Below are 24,857 nucleotides of genomic sequence, written 5' to 3' on the forward strand. Positions count from 1 at the left end.
AGGCATTGGTCTAGGAGCTAGAAACTTATCAGCGCACAAAGAAGACAAACTGTCAACAAATAGGAGATAAACACTAGGTGAATCTATGAGCTGTTTATAAGGGAAGAGCGGGAACAGTACTTAGATAACGTGGTCAGGGAAGGTATCACAGCAGGGGGGAAATTTTGGCCTGAAGACTGGAAAAAAAAAACAAGCCAGCCAGGCAAATCGCCAGAGGGAATGCAAGCCAGGCAAACAGAACAGCAAGTGCATATTCCTGAGTGAGAAAGAAGCGGCCATGCTTAAGGAGAGAAGGTGGCCACATGGCAGAGTGCAAGACAGCATGAAATAGATGAGCTCACCAAAAGATCGTCAGGGACCAGACCAGCATGTGCCTGGTAAGCCACATCAAGGTGTGGAGCTTGGCCTTCACCCTACATGCAATGCAGGGACACTGAAGGCTGTTATCTAGTGAGGTTAACATGATGGAACTGATGTTTTAAAAGATCGTTTGGGCTACAGTATGAAGGAGAACCCAGAAGAGGGAGAAGGAGAATTGGAAGGTGCAAGATAGTGAAGAGGGCACTGTAGTAATCCACACCTGGAATGACGGTGGTGTATCAATTAGCGCTTGCTTCTTGACAAACTACTTCCAAAATGTACAGGCTTAAAGCACAATCATATTTTAGTTCATAATTCTGGGAGTCAACAATGTGGGCTGGGTTCAGCTGGGTGTGTCTTCCACTGATCTCAGCAGGGCTCACTCATCTATCTATAGTCAACTGCCAGTCACCAAGCTGAGGAAGTGATGAGGGAGACTGAGCCTCATGTCTCTTATCATCTAAGTCAGTTCATATTGTGGTGGTTGCTGGGCTCCAAAAGCAGTGAGAGAGAACAAGTCCCCAAAACTAGCAATTGTCAAGTCTCTCCTTGTCATGCTAGCTATCAGCCCATTGGCCAAAGCAAGTCACATAGCCAAGCTCAGAGTCATCATAGGACAAAACTATTCTAGGGCTTGGAGACAGGGAGGCATGAAAAAATTGGAGGCTACTTCGGCAACCTTCCTCATGTGATCTGGACCACGATGGTGGAAGTAGAAACGGGTAAGTGGATGCATTTTTAAAACTATATTTAGAAAGTGGAGCCAACAGAACTGGGTAATTTATGGTGAGGAATGAGGGATAGAGAAAGGACAATGGATGATTTCTAGGCTTCAGGCTTGAGCAGCTAGGTAAAGTTGACGACACTTGTTCACAAGTGGAAGATAGAGAAAGCAACAACATTTATCCTTTCCCAAATCGATCTCCACATCTGTGTACAATGGTTCTCAAAATTTTTGGTTTCAAGACCCTTTCAAACTCTTAAAAAATTACTGAGGACTTCAGAGAGCTTTTTGTTCATGTGGATTATTTCCACTGATATTTCACGTATTAGAAATTTAAGTGAATAAATCTGAAAATACTTTTACTTCATTTTTTAAAAACAATAATCTATTGCAGATTGCCATAAATAACGTAATCTTATAAAAATAGCTATTTTCTAGAACAGAAAATAGTGATAAGAATTTCATTGTGTAACAATTTTTCAGATCTCTTTAATATCTGCTTAGAATGCAGCTGAATTCTCATTTCTGTTTCTGCATTTGATCTGTTGAGATATCCGTTTTCATGGATGCACATGAATAAAATACAATTTGACACAGATGTGTAATTGGGAAAGGGCAGAATATTTTAGCCTTTTCAGATAATTGTGAATGTTCTTCGATACTATGCCAAAAGTCAACAAGTGGCGGTTTTATAAGGTTAGTAGTGATATGGAATCTGAAGCTATGTTGATAAATTTTTTCCTACTTAAAGTCCATCTGTCTATTCTGTACTTTGAATGGATCTTTTACTCATGCATATTTTGAAAATATCTGTTCATTAATTTATACAAATATTTTTATTGTTGACATACATTACATATGTACATAACTGTTGACATACATACATAATTGTGGACATTACATAATATCAAAAAAACCAATGTGCATTAATACCACCACCAACCTCACCAAAAAAGCCTTTAAGCATTGAGAACCTGTCAAGCTTGTAGTGGCAGACACAAGTTTTCCAAAATTCTAATTTTCACTTGAAAGCTCAGATTTTATCATTGGCAACAAATACTGTCAGTTGTTTTACTAGAAGTGACAGGCTCCCTTCATTCGTTTTTAAAAGAAAATGTCTGCCAATACCCAAGCCTGAATAACCAGTTTGTCTGTCAGACATTTTCAAGTAAAAAATAGTGTTTCATGAAAAAAGCAACTAGTTCAGCTCACAACTCAATCACACAGTGCTTTGCATCCAGGCAGCCACTGTACCGCATGGTGTGGCAGAAATGTTTTATGCGCACTTCCCACTTTTTTGCACATAATATTAAAAATATGTGTACTCAAGGTCTAAAGTTTAATAAAATTAATCATTTCACTGCTTTATCAGGGACATACTTAAGTGAAGCTGGCATTGTCTTTTTTAAAATTTTTTTACTGTGGGTGCTCGGTGGTGTGAATACCATGCATACTCCCACAGCTTGAGGCCACTTCCCCAATTCATACAAAGGCTCCTGCAGTTCTGTCCTATCACTGCTTTTGCGCCATCAGTAGAAATGTCAAAAAAATGAAAAGGGCAAATGACATCTAATGTTATTATGAAAACAGTTTTGCCCCCAGACCCCTCCCCCTTAAGTGGTCTTGGAGACCTCCAAGGGTCTATGGATCACACTTTGAGGACAAACCCACCCAGTGCAAATCTAGATGGATGAGATATACATATATATATATATATATATATATATATGAAATATATGAATTTTATAGACAGGTTTTGCTTTCCCCCAACCTTCCCACCATGAATGCATAAGAGGAAGTATCAGCGTCAAGAGTGTTTATTTGACAAGTACTGGACACATATCAATCTAAGCAATGTGTGTGTATAAAAACAGTCAAAGGCATAGTAGAGGTGACAAGATAAGACATGGCAGATAAAACAACCAGGGGACAGCTACGGATTGAGCAATGCAGGCTGGGGCACAAGACTGGAGAGAGCAGAGGGATACGGAATGTAAGAAGGATCAGAATGGGATGTCGTTAGGTAAGAAAGCTTCTTGGAAGCCAAATTTTGAAGGGCAAAGGGGACAAAGATTAAACAAAGAAGAGAAAGACCTTTCATATAAAACTTACTGTGTAAGCAAAGGCGGAGCCTGACATAGAAGAGAGGAGAATGGTTGGTGGTTAAGAAACACCAGCTCTGGAGAGCCAGTGACCTAAACTTGAATTCAGATTCTGCCACCTTTTGATGTGTAGTCTTGTGACTTTGGGTAAGTAATATAAACACTCTATGCCTCAGTTGCCCCAGATGTAAAATGAGTGACATGACAGTACTGACTCCATGGGATGACCATGAGGACTAATGTGATCATGAAGGTAAAATACCTTGCAGGCCACCTCACCACATGGCAGGCTTTCCATAGATGTTTGCTGGCAGCAGAAGTTACAATAGAGAGTGGAAGAGAAGGAAGGAAATTAAAGCAGGGTCTGGCAAGACACGGGAAGGGACAGTGAAGTCAAACAGCTGAGTTGGAGTGGAAAGGGCCCAGAGTATTGAGAGATGATGCTGGAGAAGGGGAAGTGGAGGAAAAGTTTAGGGAGCACTTGGAGTGCCTGGCTGAGAGGCTGGGTTAAGCATATTAAACAGAAAGAAGTCACTCAGAGATTGGGCCAGGAGAGTAAAGGGATTTTTCAAAAAACACAGTATTTGAGGAAAATTTACACTGACCCAGTGTACCCTAGGGGGAACAAGCAGGGCTCAGAGACAAGACACCCTGTATGGAGGCTTTGGATGAAGGTGCATCAAAGGTGAAGGCTTTCAGATGGAAGTTTCAAACAAAACAGATTTCACAAGAAGGAAAATGAGATTAAGAGCACAGATGCAATGGCCCTAGTTGTATGGTGTGGTTTGGTCTGTATTTGGCCAGGATCACCCGTCCTCTTCTGTTAACCCTTTCTCTCTAAATGGATCAATTAAACTTCAATATCAAATCCAAGGGAAACACAAGTGGAACTGTTTCCTCATTTGGCGTTGAAGGTTAAAATGCATGCACACACACAAAACACCAGTTGTTTCAGCTACTTAAAATTCTTCAAAGCTTTCTATTACTGTTAAGATAAATTCAGTCCTCTCACAAAGAAAACACAACACTTTTTGTAGCCTCTGACTGCTTGCTGGCTCCATGGCTCGAGATTTCCCAAATATACCCACTTTTTCAGGAGCCTGGAAATCAATTCCAACTAGCTCAAGAAACTAAGTGTATGTATGTGGGCAGGCTGGGTCGGGGAGACAGACAGAGGAGGGGAGTGAATATATTGGTGCGTTGAACTGATAACCTAGGAAGTTACCCTCTAGCCATCTCAAGATAACTGCAGTTTTCTAAACACAGGGCTCTCTTTCACCCCTAGGACTGAGGCTGGAAGGTGTGGACACATGCTCCTTCCCAGGAATCCCAACAAGTCTTGTTCCTGTTCACCACCCACCTCTACGCTCTTCCAGGAGCCACTTCCTGGTACCAGCCCGGCCTAGCCCCACCCCCACCACCGAAGTACATTTCTTCTTTCCCTTCTCCTATAGCAACTTTTGCTGGGACTTTGTCCTCCAAGAATGGGCCCCAGCATTGCTTGTAAGCATGCTAGGGCTATGGAAGCTTAAGCATGACTCCAGACCTCCTAACTTGGAATTTGCACTTTAAGGAGATCACATAAGACACAGTATATTAGCGACTTGAGGCAATTCATATATGACAATCACTTATTTGCACACAAGTCTCCTTGAGGACAGGCATTTTTTACTTTTAGCTAAATTTCTTGAAGAGGGCCTGCAACATACCAGATGTTCAATAATTGCTTGCTGGATAGGTGACAGAATAATGAATGAACATGCTAAATGTGATTTGTTCTTACATATTTAGGAATTATTTTATTTTTATTTATTTATTTATTTATTTTGAGATAAAGTCTCTCTCTGTCACCAGCCTGGACAGCCTGGAGTGCAGTGGTGCCATCTTGGCTCACTGCAACCTCCACCTCCTGGGTTCAAGTGATTCTCCTGCCTCAGCCTCCCGAGTAGCTGGGATTATAGGCATGCGTCACCATGTCTGGCTAATTTTGAATTTTTAGTAGAGACGGGGTTTCACCATGTTGGCCAGGATGATCTCGATCTCTTGACCTCATGATCCACCTGCCTCGGCCTCCCAAAGTGCTGGGATTACAGGCATGAGCCACTGCGCCCGGCCATATTTAGGAATGATTTCTAAACAAGGATTAAAATAGTTATCCAGTAGAGGATTCATTCAATTTCATCAGTAGCAGAAACACTAAAACATATAGATGATACATTCATTTTAATGTGCTTATTTCTAAATGCCTACTTATGTATATAAGCCACAGCTCCTCCTTTCCTGAGAACTCCTGTTTGATTTTAGAGAAATCAAAATATTCCAATAGTCAGAAAACGCATGTATACACTCTAAGAATAAAACCATCTCTCTCTCTCTCTCTCTCTCTCTCTCTCTCTCTCTCTCTCTATATATATATATATATATATATATATATATATATAATTAGGCCTTAAATGTTGACCAATGAATCTTTATGACAATTATTGACTTGTAAAGCTCCTCCTAGATTAACGTACAATCAAATCTGTGCTTCTAAATTTTTTTCAATGTTTTTATTTGGTTCCCACACCCCCCATTTTATCTTTTCAACAAACAAAGGTAGTGGTAAGAGCAGTTTGTCATTTTTAAGGCGTGGGGATTAAACTCTAACTAATTAGAAGATTTGCCCATTATTTAAATGAAACTTGTTTGCAGTTTCGCCATCCATGTGGATCCAGAAAGGCAGCCGACTGGCCCATCAATTTGGTTAGAAAAGAAAAAATGATAAGGCAACTGACAGTGTTCTCTCGTGGGAGACTCTGGCCGTACTGTTTCTCCAGTATTAATTATCCACGTAAACATACTTCACTAGGCTGCACAATCATCTGGCCTGCTCTGAGCTCCCCAGTCAGCAGCCTCCTGGTCTTCCTTTTCCTACATTTGCATCCTCGATGTCAGCAAGTGCTGTGCGCTGATGTGTTCACTGTCAACAACACACGGGGAAATCTCGCTCTGGGCAGCCAAGAGTTATCTTGGCTTCAGGCTGCCTCTGAAAGCGAGGTTAGCCTTCAGCCACATGTAGGAAAGACTCATTTGCAGTCCTGGCACCCCTTCCTGGTTAGGATTTTAAAAGACGCTGCCAGCACACTTTGTGCATGAACTTTGAGAGATGTGCAAGGAAGTGTTATTGGCGGGGCATTCAGGAACTCAAACTACTGGTGCCACAGAACTGATGGGAAGAGAGAGGCAGGGAGGAGGAAGAGGAGGAGAGAGGGAGAGACTCGACTGGGCAACCCCCACCTCATTCGGTGAAGGAATTTTAAACCGTTGGCATTAAAGATTCCACCTCTCTTTCTATGAGCTCTTCAAATGGTGAAGGAAGAGTGGATTCCCGTGACAGGAAAGGCAGGGCTGGCTTTGGACCCAGATAACAGAGTGAAGCAAAGAACACACAGTGAAGTCAGGGCACATGGGACCTGGAAAAGTTCAGATGAGGCTCAAAGCCAGAAGGGTTCCGTACTATGGATGTTAAGGGGATTTTTCTTTCTTCCCCTTCAGACAGATTCATGCATTCTCAATTACAACTTGAGCTCTATGTGAGACCCAATTCAAGAACCCCAGTAGGAGTTTCTCTACCATTAGATAATATACTAGAACCGCTTTTATTTTAAAAAACAAAAACAAAAACAAAAACAAAAAAAAACACCTAAACCAAAGTCATTCCCTGGACATTTTGCATCATCACCCTCTAGATAGATAGAGCATGGAGCTCTACCCTTCTGAGAGGCAGCCCAGGCCTCCTGCTGCCCTACACCTTACTCCTCACAACTGGCTGCACACTGGCACTCCCCCTCCACTGGCATCCCACTCATGCCACAGGACTCAGCATGGACAGTGCCTCCTTCCCTAAGAGTAGACTGTGTCCCTGCAGCCCCCCTCCTGGGGCTTTCCCAGCATGCTGAGCCCTCTCCCGTTCAGGCAGTTACTCCTAGACCCTGTGGTGCCCTTCTGAAAGGTTGCTCTTCACCACTGCATCCCAGCACAAAGCACAGTGCAGTAATCGTTGTCACCTCCCAAAAGCCACCTATGATGACTAAAGTCGTCCATTCTCACACTGCTATAAAGACCTTCCTGAGACTGGGTAATTGATAAAGGTAAGAGGTTTCATTGACTCACAGTTCCACATGGCTCGGGAAGCCTCAGGAAACTTACAATCATGGCAGAAGGTGAAGGGGAAACAAGGACTTTCTTCACAAGGCAGCAGGAGGGAGAAGAGGGAGCAAGACAGGAACTACCAGACGCTTATAAAACCACCAGATCTCATGAGCACTTACTCACTATCATGAGAACAGCATGGGGGAGCCACCCGCCATGATCCACTCACCTCCCACCAGGTCCCTCCCTCAATGCCTGGGGATTACAATTCGAGATGAGATTTGGGTGGGGACACAAAGCATAACCATATCAAACACACATGAAAGAACAGAGGCAGTGGAGTCAACAGACATGGTCGGTCTCTTCTCTCTCTCTCTCTCTCTTCCAGGTTTTCTTATTTAGTGGAAGGGAGAGTAACGTTGAGACAAGCAGCAGTTCCTATCTTGGTGTCCCTCCTTTGCCCTCTTCCTTTCCCCTGACAGCCCAGCTGAGGAGAGGAGGAGTTCTTTTGCCAAAGGAAAATTCTGCAGCCCTGTCTCCCATCCCCAGCCCAGTCAGGATGTCCCCTTCCCTGCTCCTGCCTTCCTTCGTGTCACACCTGCATGTCCCTGTGGCACGGGAGAGGCCCCAACCTCAGAGGGAAGGCCTCTGGAGCATCAGAGAATACTTCCAAAAGCCCTCCCTGCTTTCAGCATCGAGGCTACTAAGGCACCACAGCCAAATGTCTGCACCTCTGCTCTCTGTTCAATGTGTTTCAGCTTCTGTATTTGCCAGCTTTTCCCTTTTAATCTCCAGAAGAGTGTGCTTTCTTGCCCAATCTCCAATTTTCAGAATATTCACCCCAAAATAAGGTATCACTGCCTGGTACACTTAAAGTTTGTTGGTTTCTTGTACTTCTTTTTGGTGCTTCACCATTACACAGTCAGAGTCTTCTCCAACATGATCTACCACGTAGCCCTAAAAAACCTTCTGGTTTTACATATACTTCACACTACTGTATTGTACACTTAAAAATGGTTGAGATGGTATATTTTATATTTTGTGGGTTTTACCACAATAATTTTTTAAATTAAACATTTTTAAAATCTAAATTTTTAAATTAAACATTTAAAAAATTTAAAGTCTTTATTTTTTAGAGCAATTTTAGGTTCACACAAAATTGAGCAGAAGGTACAGAAATTCATATATATTCCCTGTCCCCATATACACACACAGTCTCCCCTATTATCAAATATCTCCTGCTAGAATGATACATTTGATACAATGAATGAACCTACATTAATACATTATTCTCATCCAAAGCCTATAACTTACATTAGGGCTCACTCTTGGCGCTATACATTCTATGAGTTTTGTCGAACATAGAGTGACATGTACCCAACATTGCAGTATCATACAGGATGGTTTCACTGCCCTAAAAATCCTCTGTGCTCTGCCTATTCATCTGTCCCTCTCCCCTAACTAACCCCTGTAAACGACTTATCTTTTTCCTGTCTTCATTCTTTTTGCCTTTCCTAGATTGTCACATAGTTAGAATCACACAATGTGTAGTCTTTTCAGATTAGCTTCTTTTCACTTAGGAACATGCATTTAAGTTTCCTACATGTCTTTTCATGGCTTGATAGCACATTTCCTTTTAGCACTAGATAATATTCCATTGTCTGCATATACCACAGTTTATCTACCCATTCACCTACTGAAGGACATCTTGGGTTGTTTTCAAGTTTTGGCAGTTACAAAAAGAGCTGCTATAGTCATCTGTGTGTAGGTTTTTGGGTGGCTATCACTTTTCAACTAATTTGGGTAAATACCAAGAAGCACAATTGCTAGATCATATGGTAAGACCATGTTTAGTTTTGTAGAAAACCACCAAAGTGTCCTCCCAGGTGGCTGTACCATTTTGCATTCCCTCCAGCAATGAATGAGGATTCCTTTTGTTCCACACCCTTGCCAGTATTTGGTGTTGTCAGTGTTCTGGATTTTGGCCATTTTAATCAGTGTGCAGTGGTTTCTCACTGTTTTAATTCGAAATTCTCTAATGACATATGATGTCGAGCATCTTTTCATATGCTTATTTTCCATCTGTATATCTTCTTTGGTGAGGTGTCTGTTCAAGTATTTGACTCATTTTTCAGTCAGGTTGTTTGTTTTCCCATTGCTGAGTTTTAGAGTTCTCTGTATGTTTTGGATAACACTCCTTTATCAGACATGTCTTTTGCAAATATTTTCTCCCAGTCTGTGGTTTGTCTGAGCCTTTTCACAGTAAATTTTACAGAGCACAAATTTTTAATGAAGTCAAACCTATCAGTGATTTCTCTCAGAGATCCTGCCTTTGGTGTGGCATCTAAAAAGTCATTGCCATATGCAAGGTCACCTCGATTTTCTCCTATGTTACTTTATAGGAGTTTCATAGTTTTGCATTTCATGTTTAGGTTTATGATCCACTTGGGTTAACTTTTGCGATGAGAGTGAGGTCTATGTTTGTGTCTAGATACTTTCCCTTTTTTTGCATGTGGATGTCTAGGTTGTTTCAACACCATTAGTTTAAAAGATTATCTCGCTCCATTCTGTTGCCTTTGCTTCCAAAGATCAGTTGACTACATTTATGTCTATTTCTAGGCTTTCTAGTCTGTTTCATTAATGCATCTGTCTATTCTTTTACCAATACTACACTGTCTTTTCAAAAATGTTTTCATTGATACATAATAGATGTACATATTTTCAAGGTACATGTAATAATAACATCATAATTTGTAAATAGTCGATAAATGTAACTGGAATATCCACCACCTTAAATATTTATCTTGCTTTAAGCTAGAAACATTCAAATTACTCTTTCCTACCTGTTCTGAAATATACAATAGATCACTGTAAACTAGAGTCACCCGACTGATCTTGCTAACACTAGGCCTTATTTCTTCTATCAAACTGTATATTTGTAACCATTCATCAACCTCTCTTCATACTCCCCATGTCCCTACCCTTCCGAGCCTCTGGTAGCCACCAAATTACTCTCTCTTTATGAAGTCCACTTCTTAGCTCCTGCGTATGAGTGAGAACATGTGATAGCTGTCTTTCTGTGCTTGGCTTATTTCATTTAACATAATGACCTACAGTTCCATCCATGCTGCTGCAAATAAGATTTCATTCTTTTTTATGGGTGAATAACATTCCATTGTATATATATGCCACATAATATTTATCCATTCACCCATTGATGGGTACTTAGGTTGATTCCATACCTTAGCTACTGTGAATAGTGCTGTAATGAACATGGGAGTACAGATATCTCTTCAATATATTGATTTCTTTTGAGTATATAACTCAGTAGTGGAATTGCTGGATTATATAGTAGTTCTCTTTTTAGTTTTCTGAGGAAACTCTATACAGTTTTACATAGTGGCTATCCTAACTTACATTCTCACCAACACTGTACAAGGGTTCCCCTTTCTCCATATCTTCACCAGAATTCATCATTCCCTGTCACTTTCATAAAAGTCATTTTAACTAGGGTGAAGTGATATCTCATTGTGGTTTTGTTTTGCATTTCTCTGATGATTAGTGATGTTGAGCGCTTCTTTTATATTCCTGTTGGCCATTCATATATCTTCTTTTGAGAAATGTTTCTTCAGATCTTTTGCCCATTTTTTAACTAGTTTATTTGGGTTTTTTGCTAGTGAGCGGTTTGAGCTCCTTATATATTCTGGTTATTAATCACTTGTCAGATGGATAGTTTGCAGATATTTTTCCCCCATTCTTTGGGTTGCTATCTCACTTTCTTGTTTGTTTTCTTTGCTGTGCAGAAGCTTTTTATCTTGATGTAATCCCATTTGTCTATTTTTGCTTTGATTGCCAGTGCTTCTGAGGTCTCACACAAAACATCCTTGCCCAGGCCAATGTCCTGGAGTGTTTCCCCAACATTTTCTTTCAGTAGTTTCATAGTTTCAGGTCTTAAATTTTTTCCTAATTTTTATATATGCTGAAAGATAGGGGTCTAATTTCATTCTTCTGCACATGGTTATTCAATTTTCCCAGCCCCATTTATTGAAGAGACTGCCCTTTCCTCATTGTCTGTTCTTAGCACCTTTGTCAAAAATGAGTTGGCTAAAAATGCATGAGTTTATGTCTGAGTTTTCTATTCTGTTCCATCAGTTTAGCCTATGGGTCTATTTTTATGCCAGTACCGTGTTGATTTTATTACTATAGCTTTATAGCATATTTTAAAGTCAGGTAGTGTGATGCCACCAGCTTTGTTCTTTTTTCTGGAGATTGCTTTGGCTATTTAGGATCCTTTGTGGTTCCATACAAATTTTAGAATTGTTTTTTCTGTTTCTGTCAAGAATGTCATTTGTATTTTGATAGAGATTTCATTGAATCTGTAAATTGATTTTAGTATTGTCATCTTAACAACATTAATTATTTCAATCCCATGAGCATGCAATACCTTTTTTTTGTATCCTCTTCAATTTCTTTCATCAGTGTTTTATACTTTTCTTTATACAAAATTTTCACTTCTTTGTTTAAATTGATTCCTTGGTACTTTATATTCTTTGTAGCTACTGTAAATGGAATTGCTTTCTTGATTTTTTTCAGATTGTTCACTGTTGGCATAGATAAATGACACCAATTTTTATATGTTGGCTTTGTATCCTGCAACTTTACTGAATTTATCAGTTCCAATCGTTTTTGGTGAAGTCTTTAGTTTTTTCTAAGTATAAGACAATGTTGCCTGTGAACAAGACTAATTTAACTTCTTCATTTCCAATTTAGATTTTCTTTCTTTCTCTTGCTAGTACTTCCAGAATTATGTTGAATAAAAGTAATGAAAGCAGGCATCTTTATCTTGTTCCAGATCTTAGCGAAAAGGCTTTCAATTTTGTCCTGTTCAGTACAATGTTAGCTGTGGGTTTGTCATATATGACCTTTATTATTTTGAGATATGTTCCTTCTATATCCAGTTTGTTGAAGGTTTTTGTCATAAAAGCATGTTGTTTTAGGGAGTGTTTTTTGGCATCTGTTGAAATAATACTATGGTTTTTGTTCTTGGTTTTGTTAATGTATCACATTTATTAATTTGTGAATGTTGAACTATACTTGCATCCCTGGAATGAATCACATTTGATCATGGTGAATGACCTTTTTAATGTGTTAAATTCAGTTTGCAGGTATTTTCTTGAGGATTTTTGCATCTATGTTCATCAGTGATATTGGTCTGTGGTTTTCTTTTTTGTTGTTGTTTCCTCATCTAACTTTGGTATCAGAGAAATGCTGGCCTTATAAAATGAGTTTGGAAGTGTTTTTCCTCTTCATTTTTTTTAAGAGTTCGAATAGAATTGATATGAGTGCTTTAAATGTTTGGTAAAATTCAAAAGTGAAGACATCAGGTCCTGGGCTTTTCATTGATGGGAGATTTTTTATTATGGCTTAGATCTCATTGCTCATTATCGGTTTGTTGAGATTTTCTATTTCTTCATGGTTCGATCTTGGTAGGCTGTATGTGTCTAGGAATTTATTTTTTCTAGGACTTTCAATTTGTCAGCATATAGTTGTTTGTAATAGTCGCTAATTTTTATTTCTGTGTTCTCAATTACTATGTCTCATTCCTCATTTCCGATTTTATTTATTTGAGTCTTCTCTACCTTATTCTTAGTCTAACGAAGACTTTGTTAATTTTATCTTTTTGAAAACCAAACTTTTTATTTCATTGATATTCTGTAGTGTTTTCTAGCCTCAATTTCATTTGTTTCTACTCTCATCTTTATTATTTCTTTTCTTCCACTAATTTTGGGTTTGCTTTGTTCTTGCTTTTTTAGTTCCTTGAGGTGAATTGTTAGCTCGTTTATTTGAAGTCTTTCTACTTTTTTGATATGTTTCTATTGCTATAAACTTCCCACGTAGTACCACTTTTGCTGTATCGCATAGATTTTGGTAACTTGTATTTCCATTTTCATTTCTTTCAAGAAATGTTTAAGTTCCTTTTTAATTTCTTCATTGATTCATTGGTTATTCAGAAGCATGCTGTTTAGTTTTCATGTGTTTTATATTTTTGAGGTTCCTCTTTTTATTGATTTCTAGTTTTATTATATTGTGGTCAGAAAAGCTACTTGATATGATTTCTACTGTTTTGAATTTGTTGAGATTTGTTTTGTGCCTAAGATATGGTCTATTCTGAAAACGTTGCATGTGCTGATGAAAAGAATGTGTATTCTGCAGTATGTAGGTGATATGTTCTGTAAATATCAGTTAGGCCTATTTATAGTTTAATTCCAATGTTTCACTATTGATTTTCTCTCTAGGTGATCTTTCCATTACTGAGAGTAGGGTGTTGAAGTCCCTTACTATTATTGTATTGCAGTCTATCTTTCCCTTTAGATCTATTAATGTTTCCTCTACATACTTGGAAGCTCTGGTGTTGAGTACATATATACTTATAATAGTTATATCCTCTTGCTGAACTGACCACTTTGTCCTTACATAGTGACCTCCTTTGTCTCTTCATTACATGTCTCATTTGCAGTCTATTTTACCTGATGTAAATATAGCTACTCCTGCTCTTTTTTTAGTTTCTACTTCTATGGAATATCTCTTTTAACCCCATCACTTTCAGTCTACGTGTCTTTACAGATGAAGTGGGTTTCTTGTAGACAGCATATAGTTGGGTCTTATTTTTTATTTATTCAGCCACTCTATGCCTTTTAACTGAAGAATTGAGTCCGTTTACATTCAGTGTTATTATTGATAAGGAAGGACTTACTGTTGCTTTTTGTTGCTGGTTTTCTGGTTGTTTTGTGACTCTTATCTTCCTTTCTTGTTGTCTTTTTTGTGCTTAAGTGATTTACTGTAGTAGTATGCTTTAACTTGTTGCTTTTTATTTTTACTAAATTTGTTATAGGTTTTTGCATTGTGGTTATCATGAAGCTCACAAAAATATCCTATACATATAACAAGTTATTTTAAAGAGATGACATCTTTTTTTTTTTAATTTTTTTTTTTATTATACTCTAAGTTTTAGGGTACATGTGCACATTGTGCAGGTTAGTTACATATGTATACATGTGCCATGCTGGTGAGCTGCACCCACTAACATGTCATCTAGCATTAGGTATATCTCCCAATGCTATCCCTCCCCCCTCCCCCGACCCCACCACAGTCCCCAGAGTGTGATATTCCCCTTCCTGTGTCCATGTGATCTCATTGTTCAATTCCCACCTATGAGTGAGAATATGCGGTGTTTGGTTTTTTGTTCTTGCGATAGTTTACTGAGAATGATGGTTTCCAATTTCATCCATGTCCCTACAAAGGACATGAACTCATCATTTTTTATGGCTGCATAGTATTCCATGGTGTATATGTGCCACATTTTCTTAATCCAGTCTATCATTGTTGGACATTTGGGTTGGTTCCAAGTCTTTGCTATTGTGAATAGTGCCGCAATAAACATACGTGTGCATGTGTCTTTATAGCAGCATGATTTATAGTCCTTTGGGTATATACCCAGTAATGGGATGGCTGGGTCAAATGGTATTTCTAGTTCTAGATCCCTGAGGAATCGCCACACTGACTTCCACAATGGTTGAACTAGTTTACAGTCCCACCAACAGTGTAAAAGTGTTCCTATTTCTCCACATCCTCTCCAGCACCTGTTGTTTCCTGACTTTTTAATGATTGCCATTCTAACTGGTGTGAGATGATATCTCATAGTGGTTTTGATTTGCATTTCTCTGATGGCCAGTGATGATGAGCATTTCTTCATGTGTTTTTTGGCTGCATAAATGTCTTCTTTTGAGAAGTGTCTGTTCATGTCCTTCGCCCACTTTTTGATGGGGTTGTTTGTTTTTTTCTTGTAAATGTGTTTGAGTTCATTGTAGATTCTGGATATTAGCCCTTTGTCAGATGAGTAGGTTGCAAAAATTTTCTCCCATGTTGTAGGTTGCCTGTTCACTCTGATGGTAGTTTCTTTTGCTGTGCAGAAGCTCTTTAGTTTAATTAGATCCCATTTGTCAATTTTGACTTTTGCTGCCATTGCTTTTGGTGTTTTGGACATGAAGTCCTTGCCCACGCCTATGTCCTGAATGGTAATGCCTAGGTTTTCTTCTAGGGTTTTTATGGTTTTAGGTCTAACGTTTAAATCTTTAATCCATCTTGAATTGATTTTTGTATAAGGTGTAAGGAAGGGATCCAGTTTCAGCTTTCTACATATGGCTAGCCAGTTTTCCCAGCACCATTTATTAAATAGGGAATCCTTTCCCCATTGCTTGTTTTTCTCAGGTTTGTCAAAGATCAGATAGTTGTAGATATGCGGCATTATTTCTGAGGGCTCTGTTCTGTTCCATTGATCTATAACTCTGTTTTGGTACCAGTACCATGCTGTTTTGGTTACTGTAGCCTTGTAGTATAGTTTGAAGTCAGGTAGCATGATGCCTCCAGCTTTGTTCTTTTGGCTTAGGATTGACTTGGCGATGCGGGCTCCTTTTTGGTTCCATATGAACTTTAAAGTAGTTTTTTCCAATTCTGTGAAGAAAGTCATTGGTAGCTTGATGGGGATGGCATTGAATCTGTAAATTACCTTGGGCAGTATGGCCATTTTCACGATATTGATTCTTCCTACCCATGAGCATGGAATGTTCTTCCATTTGTTTGTGTCCTCTTTTATTTCCTTGAGCAGTGGTTTGTAGTTCTCCTTGAAGAGGTCCTTCACATCCCTTGTAAGTTGGATTCCTAGGTATTTTATTCTCTTTGAAGCAATTGTGAATGGGAGTTCACTCATGATTTGGCTCTCTGTTTGTCTGTTGTTGGTTTATAAGAATGCTTGTGATTTTTGTACATTGATTTTGTATCCTGAGACTTTGCTGAAGTTGCTTATCAGCTTAAGGAGATTTTGGGCTGAGACGATGGGGTTTTCTAGATAAACAATTATGTCGTCTGCAAACAGGGACAATTTGACTTCCTCTTTTCCTAATTGAATACCCTTTATTTCCTTCTCCTGCCTGATTGCCCTGGCCAGAACTTCCAACACTATGTTGAATAGGAGCGGTGAGAGAGGGCATCCCTGTCTTGTGCCAGTTTTCAAAGGGAATGCTTCCAGTTTTTGCCCATTCAGTATGATATTGGCTGTGGGTTTGTCATAGATAGCTCTTATTATTTTGAAATACGTCCCATCAATACCTAATTTATTGAGAGTTTTTAGCATGAAGGGTTGTTGAATTTTGTCAAAGGCTTTTTCTGCATCTATTGAGATAATCATGTGGTTTTTGTCTTTGGCTCTGTTTATATGCTGGATTACATTTATTGATTTGCGTATATTGAACCAGCCTTGCATCCCAGGGATGAAGCCCACTTGATCATGGTGGATAAGCTTTTTGATGTGCTGCTGGATTCGGTTTGCCAGTATTTTATTGAGGATTTTTGCATCAATGTTCATCAAGGATATCGGTCTAAAATTCTCTTTTTTGGTTGTGTCTCTGCCCGGCTTTGGTATCAGAATGATGCTGGCCTCATAAAATGAGTTAGGGAGGATTCCCTCTTTTTCTATTGATTGGAATAGTTTCAGAAGGAATGGTACCAGTTCCTCCTTGTACCTCTGGTAGAATTCGGCTGTGAATCCATCTGGTCCTGGACTCTTTTTGGTTGGTAAACTATTGATTATTGCCCCAATTTCAGCTCCTGTTATTGGTCTATTAAGAGATTCAACTTCTTCCTGGTTTAGTCTTGGGAGAGTGTATGTGTCGAGGAATGTATCCATTTCTTCTAGATTTTCTAGTTTATTTGCGTAGAGGTGTTTGTAGTATTCTCTGATGGTAGTTTGTATTTCTGTGGGATCAGTGGTGATATCCCCTTTATCATTTTTTATTGTGTCTATTTGATTCTTCTCTCTTTTTTTCTTTATTAGTCTTGCTAGCGGTCTATCAATTTTGTTGATCCTTTCAAAAAACCAGCTCCTGGATTCATTGATTCTTTGAAGGGTTTTTTGTGTCTCTATTTCCTTCAGTTCTGCTCTGATTTTAGTTATTTCTTGCCTTCTGCTAGCTTTTGAATGTGTTTGCTCTTGCTTTTCTAGTTCTTTTAATTGTGATGTTAGGGTGTCAATTTTGGATCTTTCCTGCTTTCTCTTATAGGCATTTAGTGCTATAAATTTCCCTCTACACACTGCTTTGAATGCGTCCCAGAGATTCTGGTATGTGGTGTCTTTGTTCTCGTTGGTTTCAAAGAACATCTTTATTTCTGCCTTCATTTCGTTATGTACCCAGTAGTCATTCAGGAGCAGGTTGTTCAGTTTCCATGTAGTTGAGTGGCTTTGAGTGAGATTCTTAATCCTGAGTTCTAGTTTGATTGCACTGTGGTCTGAGAGATAGTTTGTTATAATTTCTGTTCTTTTACATTTGCTGAGGAGAGCTTTACTTCCAACTATGTGGTCAATTTTGGAATAGGTGTGGTGTGGTGCTGAAAAAAATGTATATTCTGTTGATTTGGGGTGGAGAGTTCTGTAGATGTCTATTAGGTCCGCTTGGTGCAGAGCTGAGTTCGATTCCTGGGTATCCTTGTTGACTTTCTGTCTCGTTGATCTGTCTAATGTTGACAGTGGGGTGTTAAAGTCTCCCATTATTAATGTGTGGGAGTCTAAGTCTCTTCGTAGGTCACTCAGGACTTGCTTTATGAATCTGGGTGCTGCTGTATTGGGTGCATATATATTTAGGATAGTTAGCTCCTCTTGTTGAATTGATCCCTTTACCATTATGTAATGGCCTTCTTTGTCTCTTTTGATCTTTGTTGGTTTAAAGTCTGTTTTATCAGAGACTAGGATTGCAACCCCTGCCTTTTTTTGTTTTCCATTGGCTTGGTAGATCTTCCTCCATCCTTTTATTTTGAGCCTATGTGTGTCTCTGCACATGAGATGGGTTTCCTGAATACAGCACACTGATGGGTCTTGACTCTTTATCCAACTTGCCAGTCTGTGTCTTTTAATTGGAGCATTTAGTCCATTTATATTTAAAGTTAATATTGTTATGTGTGAATTTGATCCTGTCATTATGATGTTAGCTGGTGATTTTGCTCGTTAGTTGATGCAGTTTCTTCCTAGTCTCGATGGTCTTTACATTTTGGCATGATTTTGCAGCGGCTGGTACCGGTTGTTCCTTTCCATGTTTAGCGCTTCCTTCAGGAGCTCTTTTAGGGCAGGCCTGGTGGTGACAAAATCTCTCAGCATTTGCTTGTCTCTAAAGTATTTTATTTCTCCTTCACTTATGAAGCTTAGTTTGGCTGGATATGAAATTCTGGGTTGAAAATTCTTTTCTTTAAGAATGTTGAATATTGGCCCCCACTCTCTTCTGGCTTGTAGGGTTTCTGCCGAGAGATCCGCTGTTAGTCTGATGGGCTTTCCTTTGAGGGTAACCCGACCTTTCTCTCTGGCTGCCCTTAACATTTTTTCCTTCATTTCAACTTTGGTGAATCTGACAATTATGTGTCTTGGAGTTGCTCTTCTCGAGGAGTATCTTTGTGGCGTTCTCTGTATTTCCTGAATCTGAACGTTGGCCTGCCTTGCTAGATTGGGGAAGTTCTCCTGGATAATATCCTGCAGAGTGTTTTCCAACTTGGTTCCATTCTCCACATCACTTTCAGGTACACCCATCAGACGCAGATTTGGTCTTTTCACATAGTCCCATATTTCTTGGAGGCTTTGCTCATTTCTTTTTATTCTTTTTTCTCTAACCTTCCCTTCTCGCTTCATTTCATTCATTTCATCTTCCATTGCTGATACCCTTTCTTCCAGTTGATCGCATCGGCTCCTGAGGCTTCTGTATTCTTCACGTAGTTCTCGAGCCTTGGTTTTCAGCTCCATCAGCTCCTTTAAGCACTTCTCTGTATTGGTTATTCTAGTTATACATTCTTCTAAATTTTTTTCAAAGTTTTCAACTTCTTTGCCTTTGGTTTGAATGTCCTCCCGTAGCTCAGAGTAATTTGATCGTCTGAAGCCTTCTTCTCTCAGCTCGTCAAAATCATTCTCCATCCAGCTTTGTTCCGTTGCTGGTGAGGAACTGCGTTCCTTTGGAGGAGGAGAGGCGCTCTGTGTTTTAGAGTTTCCAGTTTTTCTGTTCTGTTTTTTCCCCATCTTTGTGGTTTTATCTACTTTTGGTCTTTGATGATGGTGATGTACAGATGGGTTTTCGGTGTAGATGTCCTTTCTGTTTGTTAGTTTTCCTTCTAACAGACAGGACCCTCAGCTGCAGGTCTGTTGGAATACCCTGCCGTGTGAGGTGTCAGTGTGCCCCTGCTGGGGGGTGCCTCCCAGTTAGGCTGCTCAGGGGTCAGGGGTCAGGGACCCACTTGAGGAGGCAGTCTGCCCGTTCTCAGATCTCCAGCTGCGTGCTGGGAGAACCACTGCCCTCTTCAAAGCTGTCAGACAGGGACACTTAAGTCTGCAGAGGTTACTGCTGTCTTTTTGTTTGTCTGTGCCCTGCCCCCAGAGGTGGAGCCTACAGAGGTAGGCAGGCCTCCTTGAGCTGTGGTGGGCTCCACCCAGTTCGAGCTTCCCGGCTGCTTTGTTTACCTAAGCAAGCCTGGGCAATGGCGGGCGCCCCTCCCCCAGCCTCGCTGCCGCCTTGCAGTTTGATCTCAGACTGCTGTGCTAGCAATCAGCGAGATTCCGTGGGCGTAGGACCCTCTGAGCCAGGTGTGGGATATAGTCTCGTGGTGCGCCGTTTCTTAAGCCGGTCTGAAAAGCGCAATCTTCGGGTGGGAGTGACCCGATTTTCCAGGTGCGTCCGTCACCCCTTTCTTTGACTCGGAAAGGGAACTCCCTGACCCCTTGCGCTTTCCAGGTGAGGCAATGCCTCGCCCTGCTTCGGCTCGCGCACGGTGCGCACACCCACTGGCCTGCGCCCACTGTCTGGCACTCCCTAGTGAGATGCACCCGGTACCTCAGATGGAAATGCAGAAATCACCCGTCTTCTGTGTCGCTCACGCTGGGAGCTGTAGACCGGAGCTGTTCCTATTCGGCCATCTTGGCTCCTCCTCCCGACAACTTATCTTAGACCACAAAAAAAAGAATAGAAAAAAAGAAAAATTTAAAAACAGACCTCTCAACACTTTAACTCCCTCTCTCCACATTTTGACTTTATGTTGCCTCAATTTGTATATTTTATATTGCCTATTTCTTAACACATTGCTGTAGCTATTATTGTTTTTGACAGACTTGCCTTTGGGGCTTCATAATACAGTTGAGTGGATTGCACACCATGATTACAGTATTAGAGTATTCTCAGTTTTTCCATGTACTTAATTTTGCCAGTGGGTTTTATACTTCCAAATGTTTTCTTTTTGCACATTAGTGGGTTTTTTTCATAATGAGAAACTCCTTTTAGCATTTCTTATAAGGTGAGTCTGATAGTAGTAAATTATCTGAGCTTTAGTTTGTCTGGGAAAGACTTTCTCCTTCATATTTGAAGGATATCTTTGCTGTATACAATATTCCTGGATACAGATTTTTCTTTTCGCATTTTAAAAATGTCATCCCACTCCCTCCTGGCCTGTATAATTTCCATTGGGAAATCTGTCACCAGATGAATTGGAACTTCTTTATATGTGATTCTTTTTTCTTGTTGCTTTTAGGATCTTTTCTTTGTCTCTCAGCTTTGAGAACCGGGTTACTATATGCTTTGGGGTAGTCTTATTTATGTTGAATCTGTTTGGTGTTCTCTGATCTTCCCATACCTGGATATTTCTCTTTCTCAAATTTGGGTATTTTTTGTTCTTATATTTTTGAATAAGCTTTATAATTCTTTCTTTTACTCATCCCCTCTCAAACACCAACAATTCTTAGATTTGGTCTTTTGAGGTAATTTTATATATCTTTTAGGCAATCCTCATTCTTTTTCATTCTTTTTTCTTTTCTCCTCTATTGTCTATTTTGAAGTAATCTGTCTTTGAACTAATTCTTTCCTCTGCCTGATCCATTCTACTATTGAGCATATTGAAAGCCTCTAAAGAATTTTTCAATTTAGTAAATGTATTCCTCAGATCTAAGATTTCTGTTTTTATTTCAATCTCTTCATTAAATTTCTCTGATAAAATGTTTAATTGATTTTCTGTATTACACTGGAAATTACTGAGTTTCCTTAAAACTACTATTTTTAATCCTTGATCAGAGAGTTCACATATTGCTATCTCATTAGGGTCAGTCACTGGTTCCTTGCTTTGTCCCTTTGGGGAGGTCATGGTTCCCTGTGTGCTGCTGTTTCTTCTGAATGTATGTCTATATCTTTGCATTGAAGAATTGGCTATTTATTCCAATTTTCTCTGTCTGGATCATTTTGGATTTTATTTGATGTGTTTGCTTAGGGATTCTTTGTAATTTACCTGTTGATTTTCTCTTTTGTTGGTTTTTCCCCCACTAGATTGTTGCCTCCTTTTCAGCACTAGATGCCACCTTAAGCTCAAGTTTGCCTTGGTTCTAGTAAACAGAGTATTGCCTGCCCTGAAAGGGGAGGTCTCAAAGAGGATATCCTGGTAATGTGGAAAGGCTGGCTAGAGTTTTGTGCCTAGGGGACATGTGGGACAAACCTCCTCCAGCATGGTTCCCATAGTTCCCATGCTGGGGGAGGTTTGTCCCACAGGTCCCCTGGCATCTGATTCGGCATCTCTGTTGGCCACTTTACAGGGCTGGGGATAGCAATACCATCCCCTGCTTTTTTCTCTGACTATCCTCAGGGATATTTCTCCCTTCAGTCACTCCTGATGCTTCCCATGGTTTGAAGCAGGGATAGATCTTCTGCCAGGGAACCCAAGTTGGTGGAGAAGCTTGTTGTCCACCTTGATCTCACTTTTTCCAGTGTAGAAACAATGTATAATTGGAAAATGTTTCATGTGCTGGGTGCCAGGCATAGTAGGGGAGGGGTATTTTGTCTGTGAACATCCAATTTTCTTACTGTCTGCTCAGAATTTCTTCACTTCTCTGTGGCCCTAGGGACAGTTCTCTCTTCGTATTTCAGTTCCGAGATGTCGCTAGTGATAATCTCACTGCTATATATTTGTTTTAGGTTTTCTGTGGTGGGGACTAAAGCTAATATGCTTCTATGCTACCATTTTAAAACAGGAAGTCTACACTGTCTTGACCATAAATTTAGAGTAGGTCTTGAAGTCAGGTAGTGACAGTCCTTCAACTTTGTTCTTCTATTTTAGTATTGAGTTGGCTATTCTGGGCCTTTTGCTCTCCATGTAAGAATTAGTTTGTCATCAGAATTAGTTTGTCAATATCTATAAAATATCTTACTGGGATTTTGATTGAGATCGTCTTGAATCTATATATCAAGTTGGGAAGAACTGACATCTTGATACTATTGAGTCTCCCTACCCTTGAACATGTAATATCTCCTCCATTAATTTAGTTCTTCTTTGTTTTTTTTAATCAGAGTTTTGTAGTTTTCCTCATTTAGATCATGTACACATTTTGTTAAATATATATGTGTTTCCTTTTCTGGGGTGGTAATGTAAATGGTACTGTGTTTTAAATTTGAAATTCCATTTGTTTTTTGCTGGTATATAGGAAGGTGATTGACTTTCATGTACTAGCCTTGATCCTATGACTTTCCTATAATCACTTATTAGTTCCAGGAGTGTTTTTGTGAATTATTTTGGATTTTTTTACATAGAAGATTATGTTATCTGTGAACAAAGACAGTTTGATTTCTCCTTCCCAATTTGTGTGCCTTTCATTTCCTTTTACTGTCTTACTGCATTAGCTAGAACTTACATTTGAAAAGGAATCACGATGGGGGACATTCTTGCACTGTTCCTGATTTTCTTTGGAAAGCTTTTCGTTTCTCAACAAAATAAATAAATAAATAAATAAATAAGGTTCTAAAAAAATTCCTTTGGCCGGGCGCAGTGGCTCACGCCTGTAATCCCAGCACTTTGGGAGGCCGAGACGGGCTGATCACAAGGTCAGGAGATCGAGACCATCCTGGCTAACACGGTGAAACCCCGTCTCTACTAAAAATACAAAAAAATATTAGCTGGGCATAGTGGCGGGCGCCTGTAGTCCCAGCTACTCGGGAGGCTGAGGCAGGAGAATGGCGTGAACCCGGGAGGCAGAGCTTGCAGTGAGCCGAGACTGCACCACTGCATTCCAGCCTGGGCGACTGAGCGAGACGACGTCTCCAAAAAAAAAAAAAAAATTCCTTTGTCGAGAAACCTCCAGGGCTACCTCCCTGGCAACAGAGGGTAATTTTCAGTGGGCAGCTCTATGAATTATTTCTATGTGCTGTGAGTTGAATTGTGTCTCCCGAAAATATATTTTCTAATTATAACCTCTAGAAGCTTGGGATCTGATATTATTTGGAAATAGGGTTATTGCAAATGTAATCAGTTAAGATGAGGTCACACTACAGCAGGGTGGGCCCGTAATCCAATATTACTGCTGTCCTTACAAGAAATGAGGAGAAACACAGAGACAGACACAGGAAAGAAGGTCATGTGGAGATGGAGGCATAGTCTAGAGTGATGCAACTGTAAGCCAAGGAACACCAAAGACTGCCAGCAGCCACCAGAATTTGCAAAGAGGTGAGGAAGGAGTCTACCCAAGTGCCTTCAGAGAGACTATGGCCCCAGCAACACCTTGATTCAGACTTCTAGCCTCCAGAACAATGAGAGAATAAATTGCTTTTGTTTCAAGCTACCCAGTTTGTAGCACCTTAAGTTGTGGCAGCCCTAAGAAACTAATATACTAAGTATACAAACCCATAGAATATTTGAAAATTTGCTTCTAAGTTGCATAAAACTTAGTAATCTGCCCCTGCAACATCCCTTCTCTCATAAGCACAAATGTAGTAGCGATTCTTTCTATTCTCCAAAGGGTTGCCTGTGCCTCTACAACATCACCTTATGTTCTCTTTTTCAGTCAACACAAGCCTAAATCCTTGGCTTTTCCACATCACCAAGTTTCCTGAGTCCCTGAATCATTCTCATTGCTTTCGCTTTACTTTCCCCATTGCTACAATACTCTTTTTATACCAAAAAGATAAGAATTGAAAATGAATTCTAAATGAGACTCTGCTAGTCCTTTTATATAATGGTAGAATAATTCTCTTTGACTCAAATTCAATACACTCTATTCACACCTCTCAAAGCTGTTGGTACATTTTTGTACAGCTTTATCATTGTGGTTTCAAGTACTAGCTATTGTCACACAGGATGCACAGACTGCTGGAGGTTTAGAGGTTACAACCCATTTGCTTTTTGCCTCTCACTTCATCATGTCACTGTTGTCTGAAATTGCACACTAATAACATGTATTTAATATGCACTTCATTCAATATTACAAATTTCCATATTAATTAGGTCCAGTACATGAAATAGAAGCTCTTCCACTCCCAGGTTAAGGCAGGAACAAAAACTGACATTTATTGAACACCAACTACGCCAGACACATTACATACACAATCACCATAACTCTATGAGGTAGGTATTATTGTTATTACTATTAATATTTTTATTATTTCCATTTCACAGACATAGACTCAAAAAAGGAAAATAACTTCACCCAA

The 24,857-nt window shown here is 39.7% G+C and overlaps 1 long non-coding RNA gene across 3 annotated transcripts in view; it reads left to right on the top strand.

Moving 5' to 3' along the window:
- The first annotated feature begins 248 nt into the window (after positions 1 to 248).
- The window catches only part of LOC105378071 (uncharacterized), a 59,237-nt gene continuing 34,628 nt past the window's right edge, over positions 249 to 24,857 (top strand). For 2 of the 3 annotated variants that reach the window (XR_943139.3, XR_943140.3), the window contains exons 1-2: positions 249 to 377; positions 992 to 1,082. This is a non-coding gene — a long non-coding RNA (uncharacterized LOC105378071). The remainder of the gene's footprint in view (positions 378 to 991; positions 1,083 to 24,857) is intronic. The other variant, XR_943136.3, reaches the window with a different exon arrangement.

Source organism: Homo sapiens, chromosome 6, assembly GCF_000001405.40.
Source record: "Homo sapiens chromosome 6, GRCh38.p14 Primary Assembly".
Taxonomy (NCBI): Eukaryota; Metazoa; Chordata; class Mammalia; order Primates; family Hominidae; genus Homo; species Homo sapiens.